The sequence below is a fragment of the Homo sapiens genome, chromosome 12 (assembly GCF_000001405.40).
Source record: "Homo sapiens chromosome 12, GRCh38.p14 Primary Assembly".
Lineage (NCBI taxonomy): Eukaryota > Metazoa > Chordata > Mammalia > Primates > Hominidae > Homo > Homo sapiens.
The window spans coordinates 104,034,665-104,048,580 of NC_000012.12; the positions used below are offsets into that span (position 1 = coordinate 104,034,665).

The window sequence follows — 13,916 nt, forward strand, 5'->3', positions numbered from 1 at the left end:
CAGCTCCGCAAAGCCAGCTGCCTCTGTAGACTCCACTTCTGGGGGCAGGGCATAGCTGAACAAAAGGCAGCAGAAACTTCTGCAGACTTAAACATCCCTGTCTGACAGCTCTGAAGAGAGCAGTGGTTCTCCCAGCATGGTGTTTGAGCTCTGAGAACAGACAGACTGCTTCCCTCAGTGGGTCCCTGACCCCCATGTAGCCTAACTGGGAGACACCTCCCAGTAGGGGCCAACTGATACATCATACAGGTGGGTGCCCCTCTGGGACGAAGCTTCCAGAGGAAGGATCAGGCAGCAATATTTGCTGTTCTGCAATATTTGCTGTTCTGCAGCCTCCGCTGGTGATACCGAGGCAAACAGGGTCTGGAGTGGACCTCCAGCAAACTCCAACAGACCTACAGCTAAGGGACCTGACTGTTAGAAGGAAAACTAACAAACAATAAAGAATAGCATCAACACCAACAAAAAGGACATCCACACCAAAATCTCAGTTGTAGGTCACCAACATCAAAGACCAAAGGTAGATAAAATCACAAAGATGGGGAGAAACCAGAGCAGAAAAGCTGAAAATTCTAAAAACCAGAGCGCCTCTTCTCCTCCAAAGGATCACAGCTCCTCGCCAGCAATGGAACAAAGCTGGACGGAGAATGACTTTGACGAGCTGACAGAAGTAGGCTTCAGAAGGTTGGTAATAACAAACTTCTCCAAGCTACAGGAGGATGTTTGAACCCATTATAAGGAAGCTAAAAACCTTGAAAAAAGATTATACAAATGGCAAACTAGAACAAACAGTGTACAGAGGACCTTAAATGACCTGATGGAGCTGAAAACCATGGCACGAGAACTATGTGATGCATGCACAAGCTTCAATAGCCAATTCGATCAGGTGGAAGAAAGGGTATCAGCAATTGGAGATCAAATTAATGAAATAAAGTGAGAAGAGAAGTTAAAAGAAAAAAGAGTAAAAAGAAATGAACAAAACCTACAAGAAATATGGGACTATGTGAAAAGACCAAATCTACATTTGATTGGTGTACCTGAAAGTGACGGGGAGAATAGAATCAAGTTGGAAAACACTCTTCAGGATATTATCCAGGAGAACTTCCCCAACCTAGCAAGGCAGGCCAACATTCAAATTCAGGAAATACAGAGAGCACCGCAAAGATATTCCTCGAGAGGAGCAACCCCAAGATATATAATTGTCAGATTCACCAAGGTTGAAATGAAGGAAAAAATGTTAAGGGCAGCCACAAAGAAAGGTCAGGTTACCCACAAAGGGAAGCCCATCAGACTAACAGCAGATCTCTCAGCAGAAACTCTACAAGCTAGAAGAGAGTGGGGGGCAATATTCAACATTCTTAAAGAAAAGAATTTTCAACCAAGAATTTCATATCCAGCCAAACTAAGTGAAGGAGAAATAAAATCCTTTACAGACAAGCAGATGCTGAGAGATTTTGTCACCACCAGGCTTGCCTTACAAGAGCTCCTGAAGGGAGCACTAAACATGGAAAGGAAAAACCAGTATCAACCACTGCAAAAACATGCCAAATTGTAAAGACCATCGATGCTAGGAAAACACTGCATCAACTAATGGGCAAAATAACCAACTAACATCATAATGACAGGATCAAATTCACACATAACAATATTAACCTTAAATGTAAATGGACTATATGTCCCAATTAAAAGACACAGACTGGCAAATTGGATAAAGAGTCAAGACCCATCAGTGTGCTGTATTCAGGAGACCCATCTCATGTGCAGAGACACATACAGGCTCAAAATAAAGGGATGGAGGAAGATCTACCAAGCAAATGGAAAGCAAAAAAAAAGCAGGGGCTGCAATCCTAGTCTCGGATAAAACAGATTTTAAACCAACAAAGATCAAAACAGACAAAGAAGGCCATTACGTCATGGTAAAGGGATCAATTCAACAAGAAGAGCTAACTTTCCTAAGTATATATGCACCCAATACAGGAGCACCCAGATTCATAAAGCAAGTCCTTAGAGACCTACAAAGAGACTTAGACTCCCACACAATAATAATGGGAGACTTTAACACCCCACTGTCAATATTAGACAAATCAATGAGACAGAAGGTTAACAAGAATATCCAAGACTTGAGCTCAGCTCTGCACCAAGTGGACCTCAATAGACATCTACAGAACTCTCCACCACAAATCAACAGAATATACATTTTTCTCAGCACCACACTGCACTTATTCCAAAACTGACCACAGAGTTGGAAGTAAAACACTCTTCAGCAAATGTAAAAGAACAGAAATCACAACAAACTGTCTCTCAGACCACATTGCAATCAAATTAGAACTCAGGATTAAGAAACTCACTCAAAACCGCACAACTACATGGAAACCGAACAACCTGCTCCTGAAGGACTACTGGGTAAATAGCGAAATGAAGGCAGAAATAAAGATGTTCTTTGAAACCAATGAGAACAAAGACACAACATACCAGAATCTCTGGGACACATTTAAAGCAGTGTGTAGAGGGAAATTTATAGCACTAAATGCCCACAAGAGAAAACAGGAAAGATCTAAAATCGACACCCTAACATCACAATTAAAATAACTAGAGAAGCAAGAGCAAACACATTCAAAAGCTAACAGAAGGCAAGAAATAACTAAGATCAGAGCAGAACTGAAGGAGATAGAGACACAAAAAACCCTTCAAAAAATCAATGAATCCAGGAGCTGGTTTTTTGAAAAGGTCAACAAAATAGACTGCTAGCAAGAATAATAAAGAAGAAAAGGGAGAAGAATCAAACAGACGCAATAAAAAATGACAAAGGAGATATCACCACCGATAGTACCATCAGAGAATACTATGAACACCTCTATGCAAATAAACTAGAAAATATAGAAGAAATGGATAAATTCCTGGATGCATACACCCTCCCAAGACTATACCAGGAAGAAGTTGAATCTCTGAATAGACCAATAACAGGCTCTGAAATTGAGGCAATAATTAATAGTCTACCAACCAAAAAATGTCCAGGACCAGATGGATTCACAGCCAAATTCTACCAGAAGTACAAAAAGGAGCTGGTACCATTCCTTCTGAAACTATTCCAATCAATAGAGGAAGAGGGAATCCTCCCTAACTCATTTTATGAGGCCAGCATCATCCTGATACCAAAGTCTGGCAGAGACACAGCACAAAAAGAGAATTTTAGACCAATATCCCTTATGAACATCAGTGCGAAATCCTCAATAAAATACTGGCAAACTGAATCCAGCAGCACATCAAAAAGCTTATCCACCACGATCAAGTTGGCCTCATCCCTGGGATACAAGGCTGGTTCAACACATGCAAATCAATAAACGTAATCCATCACATAAACAGAACCAACAACAAAAACCACATGATTATTTCAATAGATGCAGAAAAGGCCTTCCACAAAATTCAACAGCCTTTCATGCTAAAAACTCTCAATAAACTAGGTACTGATGGAACGTGTCTCAAAATAATAAGAGCTATTTATGACAAACCCACAGCCAATATCATACTGAATGGGCAAAAACTGAAAGCATTCCCTTTGAAAACTGGCACAAGACAGGGATGCCCTCTCTCACCACTCCTATTCAACATAGTGTTGGAAGTTCTGGCCAGGGCAATCAGGCAGGAGAAAGAAATAAAGGGTATTCATTTAGGAAAAGAGGAAGTCAAACTGTCCCTGTTTGCAGATGACATGATTGTGCATTTAGAAAACCCCATCGTCTCAGCCCATAATCTCCTTAAGCTGATAAGCAACTTCAGCAAAGTCTCAGGATACAAAATCAATGTGCAAAAATCACAAGCATTCCTATACACCAATAACAGACAAACAGAGAGCCAAATCATGAGTGAACTCCCATTCACAATTGCTTCAAAGAGAATAAAATACCTAGGAATCCAACTTACAAGGGATGTGAAGGATCTCTTCAAGGAGAACTACAAACCACTGCTCAACGAAATAAAAGAGGACACAAACAAATGGAAGAACATTCCATGTTCGTGAATAGGAAGAATTAATATCGTGAAAATGGCCATACTGCCCAAGGTAACTTATAGATTCAATGCCATCCCCATCAAGCTACCAATGACTTTCTTCACAGAATTGGAAAAAAATACTTTAAAGTTCATATGAATCAAAAAAGAGCCCACATCGCCAAGACAATCCTAAGCCAAAAGAACAAAGCTGGAGGCATCACGCTACCTGACTTCAAACTATACTAAAAGGCTACAGTAACCAAAATAGCATGGTACTGATGCCAAAACAGAGATACAGACCAATGCAACAGAACAGAGGCCTCAGAAATATCACCACACATCTACAATAATCTGATATTTGACAAATCTGACAAAAACAAGAAATAGGGAAAGGATTCCCTATTTATTAAATGGTGATGGGAAAACTGGCTAGCCATACATAGAAAGCTGAAACTGGATCCCTTCCTTACACCTTATACAAAAATTAATTCAAGATGGATTAAAGACTTAAATGTTAGACCTAAAACCATAAAAACTCTAGAAGAAAACCTAGGCAATACCATTCAGGACATAGGCATGGGCAAGGACTTCATGTCTGAAACACCAAAAGCAATGGCAACAAAAGCCAAAATACACAAATGGGATCTAATTAAACTAAAGAGCTTCTGCACAGCAAAAGAAACTACCATCAGAGTGAATAGGCAACCTACACAATGGGAGAAAATTTTTGCAATCTACCCATCTGACAAAGGGCTGATATCCAGAATCTACAAAGAACTTAAACAAATTTACAAGAAAAAAACAAACAACCCCATCAAAAAGTGGGCGAAGGATATGAACAGACACTTCTCAAAAGAAGACATTTATGCAGCCAACAGACACATGAAAAAATGCTCATCGTCACTGGCCATCAGAGAAATGCAAATCAAAACCACAATGAGATACCATCTCACACCAGTTAGAATGGCGATCATTAAAAAGTCAGGAAACAACAGATGCTGGAGAGGATGTGGAGAAATAGGAATGCTTTAACACTGTTGGTGGGAGTGTAAACTGGTTCAACCATTGTGGAAGACAGTGTGGTGATGCCTCAAGGATCTAGAACTAGAAATACCATTTGACCCAGCCATCCTATTACTGGGTATATACCCAAAGGATTATAAATCATGCTGCTTTAAAGACACATGCACACGTATGTTTATTGCTGCACTATTCACAATAGCAAAGACTTGGAACCAACCCAAATGTCCATCAATGATAGACTGAATTAAGAAAATGTGGCACATATACACCATGGAATACTATGCAGCCATAAAAAAGGTGAGCTCACATCCTTTGCAGGGACATGGATGAAGCTGGAAATCATCATTCTGAGCAAACTATCACAAGGACAGAAAACCAAACACTGCATGTTCTCTCACTCATGGGTGGGAATTAAACAATAAGAACACTAGGACATAGGACAGGGAACATCAGACACCAGGGCCTGTCATGGGGTGGGAGCAGGGGGAGGGATAGCATTAAGAGAAATAGCTAATGTAAATGACAAGTTAATGGGTGCAGCAAACTAACATGGCCCATGTATACCTATGTAACAAACCTGCACGTTGTGCACATGTACCCTAGAACTTAAAGTATAATAATAAAAAAATTATTTATGCCTGTAGAATTGCTATCTTTGATAACAGTATCTGCAATTCACTCACTGTTATTCAAATGAGTCAGATTAACTATACATCTCTTTGAAATAAAAAACAACAAATTGAAAAAAAAATGTTTTTTTTCTTTTGGGACGAAGTCTTGTTCTGTCGCCCAGGCTGGAGTGCAGTCGCTTGATCTTGGCTCACTGTAACCTCTGGCACCCGGGTTTACGCGATTCTCCTGCCTCAGCCTCCAAAGTAGCTGGGATTACAGACGCGTGCCACCATGCCCAACTAATTTTTGCATATTTAGTAGAGATGGGGTTTCAGCATCTTGGCCAGGCTGGTCTTGAACTCCTGACCTCGTGATCCACCCGCCTCAGCCTCCCAAAGTGCTGGGATTACAGGCGTGAGCCACCACGCCCAGCCTAACAAATTGAAAAATTAAGCATCCCATTTTCTAAGTACTATGAGACTCGAGTATATAGGTACTTTTAGCTTTTTAGATGCTGTGTTGTGACTTTACTGGGTGTAAATTTGTAAGTTCAGAGTTCTACTGAATGTGAGAATAAATAAATTTATTTTTAACATTACAAAAGTGATTGGGGAGTCAGCACTGTTTTCTGGCAAGGTGTTAGAGATTTTGCTATTAGAATGTAAATATGAGTTAACTAGCTAAAAATGCTAAGGGGCTGGGCACGGTGGCTCACGCCTGTAATCCCAGCACCTTGGGAGGCCTAGGTGGGCAGATCACTTGAGGTCAGGAGTTCGAGACCAGCCTGGCCAACATGGTGAAACCCCGTCTCTACTAAAAATACAAAAATTAGCTGGGTGTGGGGCCAGGCGTGGTGGCTCACCCCTGTAATCCCAGCACTTTGGGAGGCTGAGGTGGGTGGATCATCTGGGGTCAGGAGTTCGAGACCAGCCTGGCCAACATGGTAAAACGCTGTCTCTACTAAAAATACAAAAATTAGCTGGGCGTGGTGACAGGCGCCTGTAATCCCAGCTAGTCAGGAGGCTGAGGTAGGAGAATCGCTTGAACCTGCGAGACAGAGGTTGCAGTCGGCCAAGATCGCACCATTGCACTCCAGCCTGGGCGACAGAAAGAGACTCTGTCTCAAAAAAGAAAAAATTAGTTGGATGTGGTGGCACGCACCTGTGATCCCAGCTCCTTGGGAGGCTGAGACAGGGGAATTGCTTGAACCAGGGAGGCGGAGGTTGCAGTAAACACAGATCGCACCACTGCACTCCAGCCTGGGTGACAAAGCAAGGCTCTTTCTCAACAACAACAGCAACAACAACAAAGCTAAGATGGGATAAGGGCCCAACCCAGGACAAGAAGGTAATTAGGGGGTTCCCTTGACATTTCTTTGATTCATTCAACAAACATTTACTCAACCTCTACGAATATACCAGGCACCCAGGCACTAGAGATTCAAAGATAAGTCCCCAGTTAGTCCACATTTGGGGGAAGGGAGGGGAAGACACCAGTAAATATATAATGGCAATACAGTGTGCTTAGATGCCTTGGTAGATGTAAGCATGGGATATTGTTTTAGCATCAAGGAGGGGCACCTGACCAGATCATGGGGGTCAGGGAAGGCTCCTGGTCTCCACCAAACCAAACCAAGATACTCCGTTCATTCTTATGTTTCCTTACTAGAACGCAAGCTCCAGGGACAGGACGGGTACTACGTTAATCATTTCTGTATTTCCAGTTCATGGCAAGCATTTGGCACTTGGTAGTGTGGCAGCCTTGATAGCTGGCTGATCCAACAGCTCTTCCCATCCTTTTCTCCTTTGCCTGTTTCCATATGAGAGAGAGGAAAATCCAAATAAAGATTTTACCAGCCTTCTTTGCAGCTAGTAGTAGCCACATAATATAGATCTGATGCACAGAGACTTAAGTGGAAATCTACTGGGAATATCTGAGAAAGCTTTTCCTTTCTGGATGAAGTGTCAACTCCCCCTTCCTCCTGCCTTGCATGGGGCCATAATGGCTGGAGCTAGGCAGCCACCTTGAGACCATGAGGGAGAGGTCAAGAGCTACACAGAATGGTCAGCTCTTATGTCATCGAACTGCTGAATCAATGCCATCAATACCTACCTCCTCCAAACTTCTTATGTGACAGAATCAACCCATGTGTTTAAGCTGCCGTAAATCAGTGTTTCTGGTATTTGAAGTCAAAGACATTCCAGTAGATTAAGTAGGTTCTCAAGAAATTTTTGCAGAACTGAAGTCCTGGGGATAAGCTGATTGTGGGGAATTAAGAGAGGGATCAGAGTTATAAAGAGGTAGAAAACTGATAGGAAGTCAGGGATAGAGAACTGGAGAACCAAGGAAGTGATGCTGGACAGCTTAAGAATGTGTAGGGTGGGGTGTCCTATCTTCTGGCTTCCCTGGACCACACTGAAAGAAGAATTGTCTTGGGCCACACATAAAATACACTAACATGAAACATAGCTGATGAGCTAAACAAAAAAAATCACACACACACAAAAATCTCATTATGTTTTAAGAAAGTTGATGAATTTGTGTTGGGCTGCATCCAAAGCTGTCCAGCACTGCCTGTGGCCTGTGGGCTACGGGTTGGACAAGCTTGAGGTAGAGTAAAAGGCAGAGATCTGGAACCAAGAGAAACTGGAATGGGGCAGAGTCTGAGAGAACATCTTCTGGCTAACAAGGTCCCGGCATGCAAAGAACTGCACCACAGGACTTGTTCCTCACTAGGGTTGAGGCATGGGTGCGTGAGATGCAGACTATGTGCCCGCTCTCTCCTCCTTACATGCTTCCTGCACGTGGCCCGGGGGACTCGGCTCACCTGCTTTTCCTCCACCTTTCTGATGGCTCATTCTCAGTCTCTTTCACTGGTTGCTCCTACCTCCTGAATATCTAAATGTTGGAACACCTTAGCGATTTCTTCTCTTCTTTCTCTAAACTCCCTCCTTAGGAGACTTCATCCTGACTCATGGCTTTAAATATAATTTATATGCTGAAAACTCCCAAATTTCTATCTCCAGGCCAGCCATCTCACATGGATTCCAGACTCCAGATGCCATTTGGCATCTGCACTTATAGTAATCCACGTGTCCAAAACTGAGCTTCTGGTATTTCCCCCGAAACATGCCCTTCCCATAATCTTCCCCAAATCAGTTCGGGTGACTCCATTTAGTTTTTATTTTTATTTTTGAGATGGAGTTTTGTTCTGTCTCTCAAGCTGGAATGCAGTGGCACAATCTTGGCTCACTGCAACCTCCGCCTCCTGGGTTAGAGCAATTCTCCTGCCTCAGCCTCCCTAGTAGCTGGGATTACATGTGTGCACCACCACGCCCAGCTAGTTTTTGTATTTTTAGTAGAGAGGCAGTTTCGCCATGCTGGCCAGGCTGTTCTTGAACTCCTGACCTCAGGTGATCCACTCACCTTGGTCTCCCAAAGTGCTGGGATTACAGGTGTGAGCCACTGTGCCCGGCTGTGACTCCGTTTTTTAAATTGCTCCACAAAAAAATCAGCTTGGTGTTTCCTTAACCCCTCTCTGTTCCTTATTCCCATGTGCACTGACAGCAAATCTTGTCAGTTCCACTTTCAAAATAGATCCAGAATTTTTACCACCTTCTGTGGCTCCACCCTGGCACATTAGCCTTTGACTATATTATTCTGCCTTTGTCTCCCTTCAGCTGATTTTCAACAAAGCAGCCAGAATGAACCTGTGAAAATAGGAGTCGCATTGTGCTGTGCTCTGTTCAAAACCTTCCAAGGCCTTCCTGTCTCTCTCAGAGCAAAAACCAAAGTCATTACAGCATCCTTCCATAAGGTATCGCGTGATCACACCGGCCTCCTTGCCAGACAGCCTCCTGCCTCAGAGCCTTGGCCACGTGCTATTCCTGCTGCCTGGAATCCTCTTCCCAGATATCTACATGGCTTGCCCCCTCATGTCTCTCAGTCTCTTAGTCAAAAGCCTCTAACCCCAACAATGCACAAATTGCATCCCCTCAGCAATTACCATCTTCCAACAGACTGCCTCGTCATCACCGGTGTACTGGCTGCCATCCAAATGACAGACTATAAGCCCCATGAAGGCAGGAAATTTTGTTTCATTCATTGCCATACACCCAGCATCTAGACAAGTGCCTGGCAATATAAGCCCTCAGAAAACATTTATGGACCAAAGGGATGAATGTGCAACTGTCTCCTCAGGGTGCTGCACAAGTATCTCAAAGCCCCTACATTCACAACTGAAATTAGCACCTCCCCTACAGAAACTCCTTCTCTGGGGTTCTCAGATTCCTCTTCAACTTCTCCCTCCTAATTCCTCCTTCAATCACCGAGTCCTACTAATTACACCTCTGCAATAACCTCCCACCTGGCCTTCCTGCCTTTAGAATTTCTGTACACTGCCCTTCCTCAATCCATCACTGGCCTAACGGCCATAGTAACTTTTTTGTTGTTCGATAATCATATCAAGTTCATTTGAAACACAAATGCAGCTTGAGTAGCCTTAATTTTTTGTTTGATTTCCTTTTTCTTTTTTTCGCTTGAAACATTTCAAGACCGCTGAAAAGTCTGAAGAATAAATACTCATATACCTTTCACCAGATCCACCAGTTGCTAACATGTTGACATATTTACTTAATTGAACTTCATATGTACATATATATTTTTGGAAGTTGTAAACATCATGACACTTCTCCCCCTAAATATTTCAGCATATCTATCTTTAAAAGAAGGACCAGACAGACCACTGAGGACAGCGACTGTGGCTTCCTCACTTCCATCTGCCTGTCCTGCCCCAAGGTGGGAACTCAATAAATGTGTGTTGAATCAATGAGAATCAGGAGAGAGAAAGAAAAGGCGAGAGGCTCTTGTTGCTCTGCTCTTCAGCCCCAGAAAGAAAGGACTCAGCCAGAAGGAGGGGAACTGCTGATGATCCCACTCCAGGAATAAAAGCAGAGGGCTCTGGTCATCTCATCAGCCTTCCTGCTACTGTCACAACAAAGAGCCCCAGAACTGTGCCCCTTACACCTCTGTGAGCTTTCCTAGCCCTAGTGACTTCCGTGTGTGTGGTTTCTCTGTGGTAATAAATAGCCAAGCCTTTAACAAGAAATTGCCTGCAGGCCTGTCTTCAGGACAGACAGAGAGGTGGAGCTGGGAGCCACTGCAGGGCAGGCAAGGCACTGGGCAGTAGCATCTTCAAAGAGGGGAGAAAAGAAGGTTGAGGTTCTAGGGCCTGTGAGTAGGAAGAAAAGGAGAGTACAGAGAGTTGTTCTGGGCATGAGAAGAGGCCTGTAAGTTTAAAAATAAGCCCCTGAAGACCTTGCATGGGGAGCCATTTTACCAGATGCCAAAGAGTTTAGGCATGTGGCCAAACCTGGAAAGAATGTTTTGAGACCTGGCAGTGGCTAAGGGAATTTGCTCTGCCTTGGAACAAAAAGCAAAGTGGGAAAGGCTCTTCAGAAAAATACTCCAAAAATCAGTGCCCCTGTGTTTCATTTTACATGCCAGCTCTGATTGGCTATGGTATGGGCTGTTGGGATTGCTAGATTGAGAAGAAATCTGAAGCCATCACTAGATTCAGTTAAAAAAGAAAAGAAAAGAAAGATAAGAAAGAAAGAAAGAAAGAAAGAAAGAAAGAAAGAAAGAAAGAAAAAGAAAGAAAGAAAGAAAATAAGAAAGAAAGAAAGAAAGAAAGTGATTGATTAATCATGTCTGCCATGGTTATAGTATGGTAGGGAGTAATAGGAAATGACTGGGAATCAAAAAGCAAGATAAAAGAGGGGGTTCCTAAAAGTACTGTTGAATGACTTAAATATGAGAGCTGTGTAGGTTAGTGGAAATATGGGCTTTATCCTTAGACAGAGCTGACTGTGAATCCTAATTAGCTGTGTAATCATGGGGTGACTTACAAAACCCTATGTGTAAAACGGGATAGTTCTGCATATTACAAAGCTATTGCTACATAAGTATTAACTATTATTATTTTAACACTTACGTAGCAATTCTATGTGCTAGGCATTGTTCTACGACTTTTACAAATATTCATTCACGGATTATCACAACAACTCCTTAAAGTTATTATTCCAATACACAGGTGAGAAAACTGAGGCTCAGAGAATTAAGAGGTCTGCTAAGGGTCACACAACTAATAAGTGGCAGAGCTAATATTTACACGCAGGCATCCTGGCTCTGAGTTCACATTCTTAACCACCTTGATAGTTACTACAGCCAACCACTTTCCATCGCTATGGTTGCTATCACTGTGTCAAGCAACTGACATAAGCTCTGTGAGTTAACTCTGCAAGACTTGCACCCTGAAGTTCTCAAATGCATAGACACATTTAACAGAGCACTTCATTTTAAGCTATGCAAGCTACAAAGTCATTAACAGGACAAGAGTAAGAATTCACTAAAGGAAAGAGAAAGGACAAGATCAGGACTCAGGAGTCTGTCCTCTAACAAAATATCTCTTGCCTTTTAACTTTTTGCTATAATGAAAGGTTTACTCAAGATTCACCAAGATACATAGAACAGGTGTCTTACTCCATTTTTTTTTTTGACAGGGTCTTACTCTATCACCTAGGCTGGAGTGTGGTGGCATGATCGTAGCTTACTATAGCCTCGAATTCCTGGGCTCAAGCTGTCCTCTCACCTCAGTCTCCCAAATAGCTGGGACAATAGGCATGCACCACCACCACATCCAGCTAATTAAAAATTTTTTTTGTAGAGACAGAGTCTTGCTATGTTGCCTAGTCTGGTTTAGAACTCTGGGCCTCAAGAGATCCTCCCACCTTACCCTCCCAAAGTGCTGTGATTACAGGCATGAGCCACCATGCCAGCCTGAACTGGGTGGCTTCTAAACAACAAAACTTTATTTCTTATAGTTCTGGAAGCTGAGAAGCCCAAGATCAAGGTGCTGGCAGATTCAGTGCCTGGTGGGGGCCTACTTTCTGGCTCATAGATAGCACGTTCTAGCTGTGTCCTCCATGGTGGAAGGGGTGAACCAGCTCTCTTAGGCCTTTTTTTTTTTTTTTTGAGATGGAGTTTCGCTCTCGTTGCCCAGGCTGGAGTGCAATGGTGCAATCTCAGCTCACCACAACCTCCACCTCCTGGGTTCAAGTGATTCTCCTATCTCAGCCTTCCAAATAGCTGGGATTACAGGCATGCACCACCACGCCTGGCTAATTTTTTGTATTTTCAGTAGGGACGGGGTTTCTCCATGTTGGTCAGTCTGGTCTCAAACTCCCGACCTCAAGTGATCCACCTGCCTCAGCCTCCCAAAGTGCTGGGATTACAGGTGTGAGCCGCTGTGCCCAGCCTCTTAGGCCTATTTTACAAGGGCACTAATCCCATTGGTGATGGTGCTGCCCTCATGACCCAACCACCTCCCAAAAGGCCCCACTTTCTAGTAGCATCACCTTGGGGGTTAGAGTTTCAACATATGAATTTTGGGGGGACACAAACCTTCAGACCATAGCACTAGGGGTGCAGGACAAGAGAGTCTTCAGTTTATAGAGAATTTGTCTTGCTTTCTCCTGTGCTAGCATGAGAAATTCTTTCACAAAAAGCCTTTAGAGTAGGGGTCAGCAAACTATGACCCCTGGTCAAATCCTGCCTGACACTAGTTTTTGTAAATAAAGTTTTGTTAGAACGTAGCCATGCTTATTTTTTGTTTCTCTGCTGTTTTAATACTGCAACAGCAGAGTTGAACAGTTGCAACAGAAACCATATGGCTTATTATCAGGCCCGTTGCAGAAAAAGTTTGCTGACTTCTGATCTCCAATTTAGGCCAGATTTTCTATATACCAGTACAACACACATGATAATCTTATGTCCTTAACTTGAGAAGGAAAAACAAGGCATCCCCTTGGATGAGCTCCAGGGAAGGTGGAGAATAGGATGTCCAAAAGAGGAACCAAAATGAAAACAAGTGTGTCCAGAATAGCACACCGCAGAGTGTGCTCCTAGAAATGTTAACCTACATTATGTGATAAGGTGGTTCAGCGATCAACTGTTTGGGAATCATTGCGTTAAACAACCTTAAGAGGATTTCTCTACTACAGGACTTCTCAGGACCTTTAAAATGCTATTATGCCTTGCGATCTCTAAGAGGGTAATATAGTTCACAGAGTTTCCCATGGGACTATGTTTTCTCAGAACTTTCTTTGGAAAATGCTGAAATTAAAAAGGATTTAGAATCATTTTCCTCGGGAACTAGAAATGAAAACTATGAGGGCTGTGCCTTAATGAACCTCACATTTTCTCAGCAAGGAAAGAGGAAGCACAAAGAAGAA

The 13,916-nt window shown here is 42.8% G+C and overlaps 1 protein-coding gene across 17 annotated transcripts in view, besides 2 other annotated features; it reads right to left on the minus strand.

Annotated features, from left to right (window-relative positions):
* The window catches only part of GLT8D2 (glycosyltransferase 8 domain containing 2), a 75,451-nt gene that overhangs the window by 45,678 nt on the left and 15,857 nt on the right, over positions 1-13,916 (minus strand). The gene's annotated exons all lie outside the window — the stretch shown is intronic.
* Positions 8,199-8,368: an enhancer, noted in NCBI's record as "experimental_23711 CRE fragment used in MPRA reporter constructs". NCBI's record gives its function as "activates a minimal promoter by MPRAs in K562 erythroleukemia cells, with activity observed for the introgressed 12:104436726 or rs77340806 variant allele {active_cell/tissue: K562}" and the evidence as "EXISTENCE:reporter gene assay evidence [ECO:0000049][PMID:34662402]".
* Position 8,284: a transcriptional cis regulatory region, noted in NCBI's record as "Neanderthal adaptively introgressed variant 12:104436726 (GRCh37/hg19 assembly coordinates) or rs77340806 in the experimental_23711 CRE". NCBI's record gives its function as "modulates activity of the experimental_23711 enhancer by MPRAs in K562 erythroleukemia cells {active_cell/tissue: K562}" and the evidence as "EXISTENCE:reporter gene assay evidence [ECO:0000049][PMID:34662402]".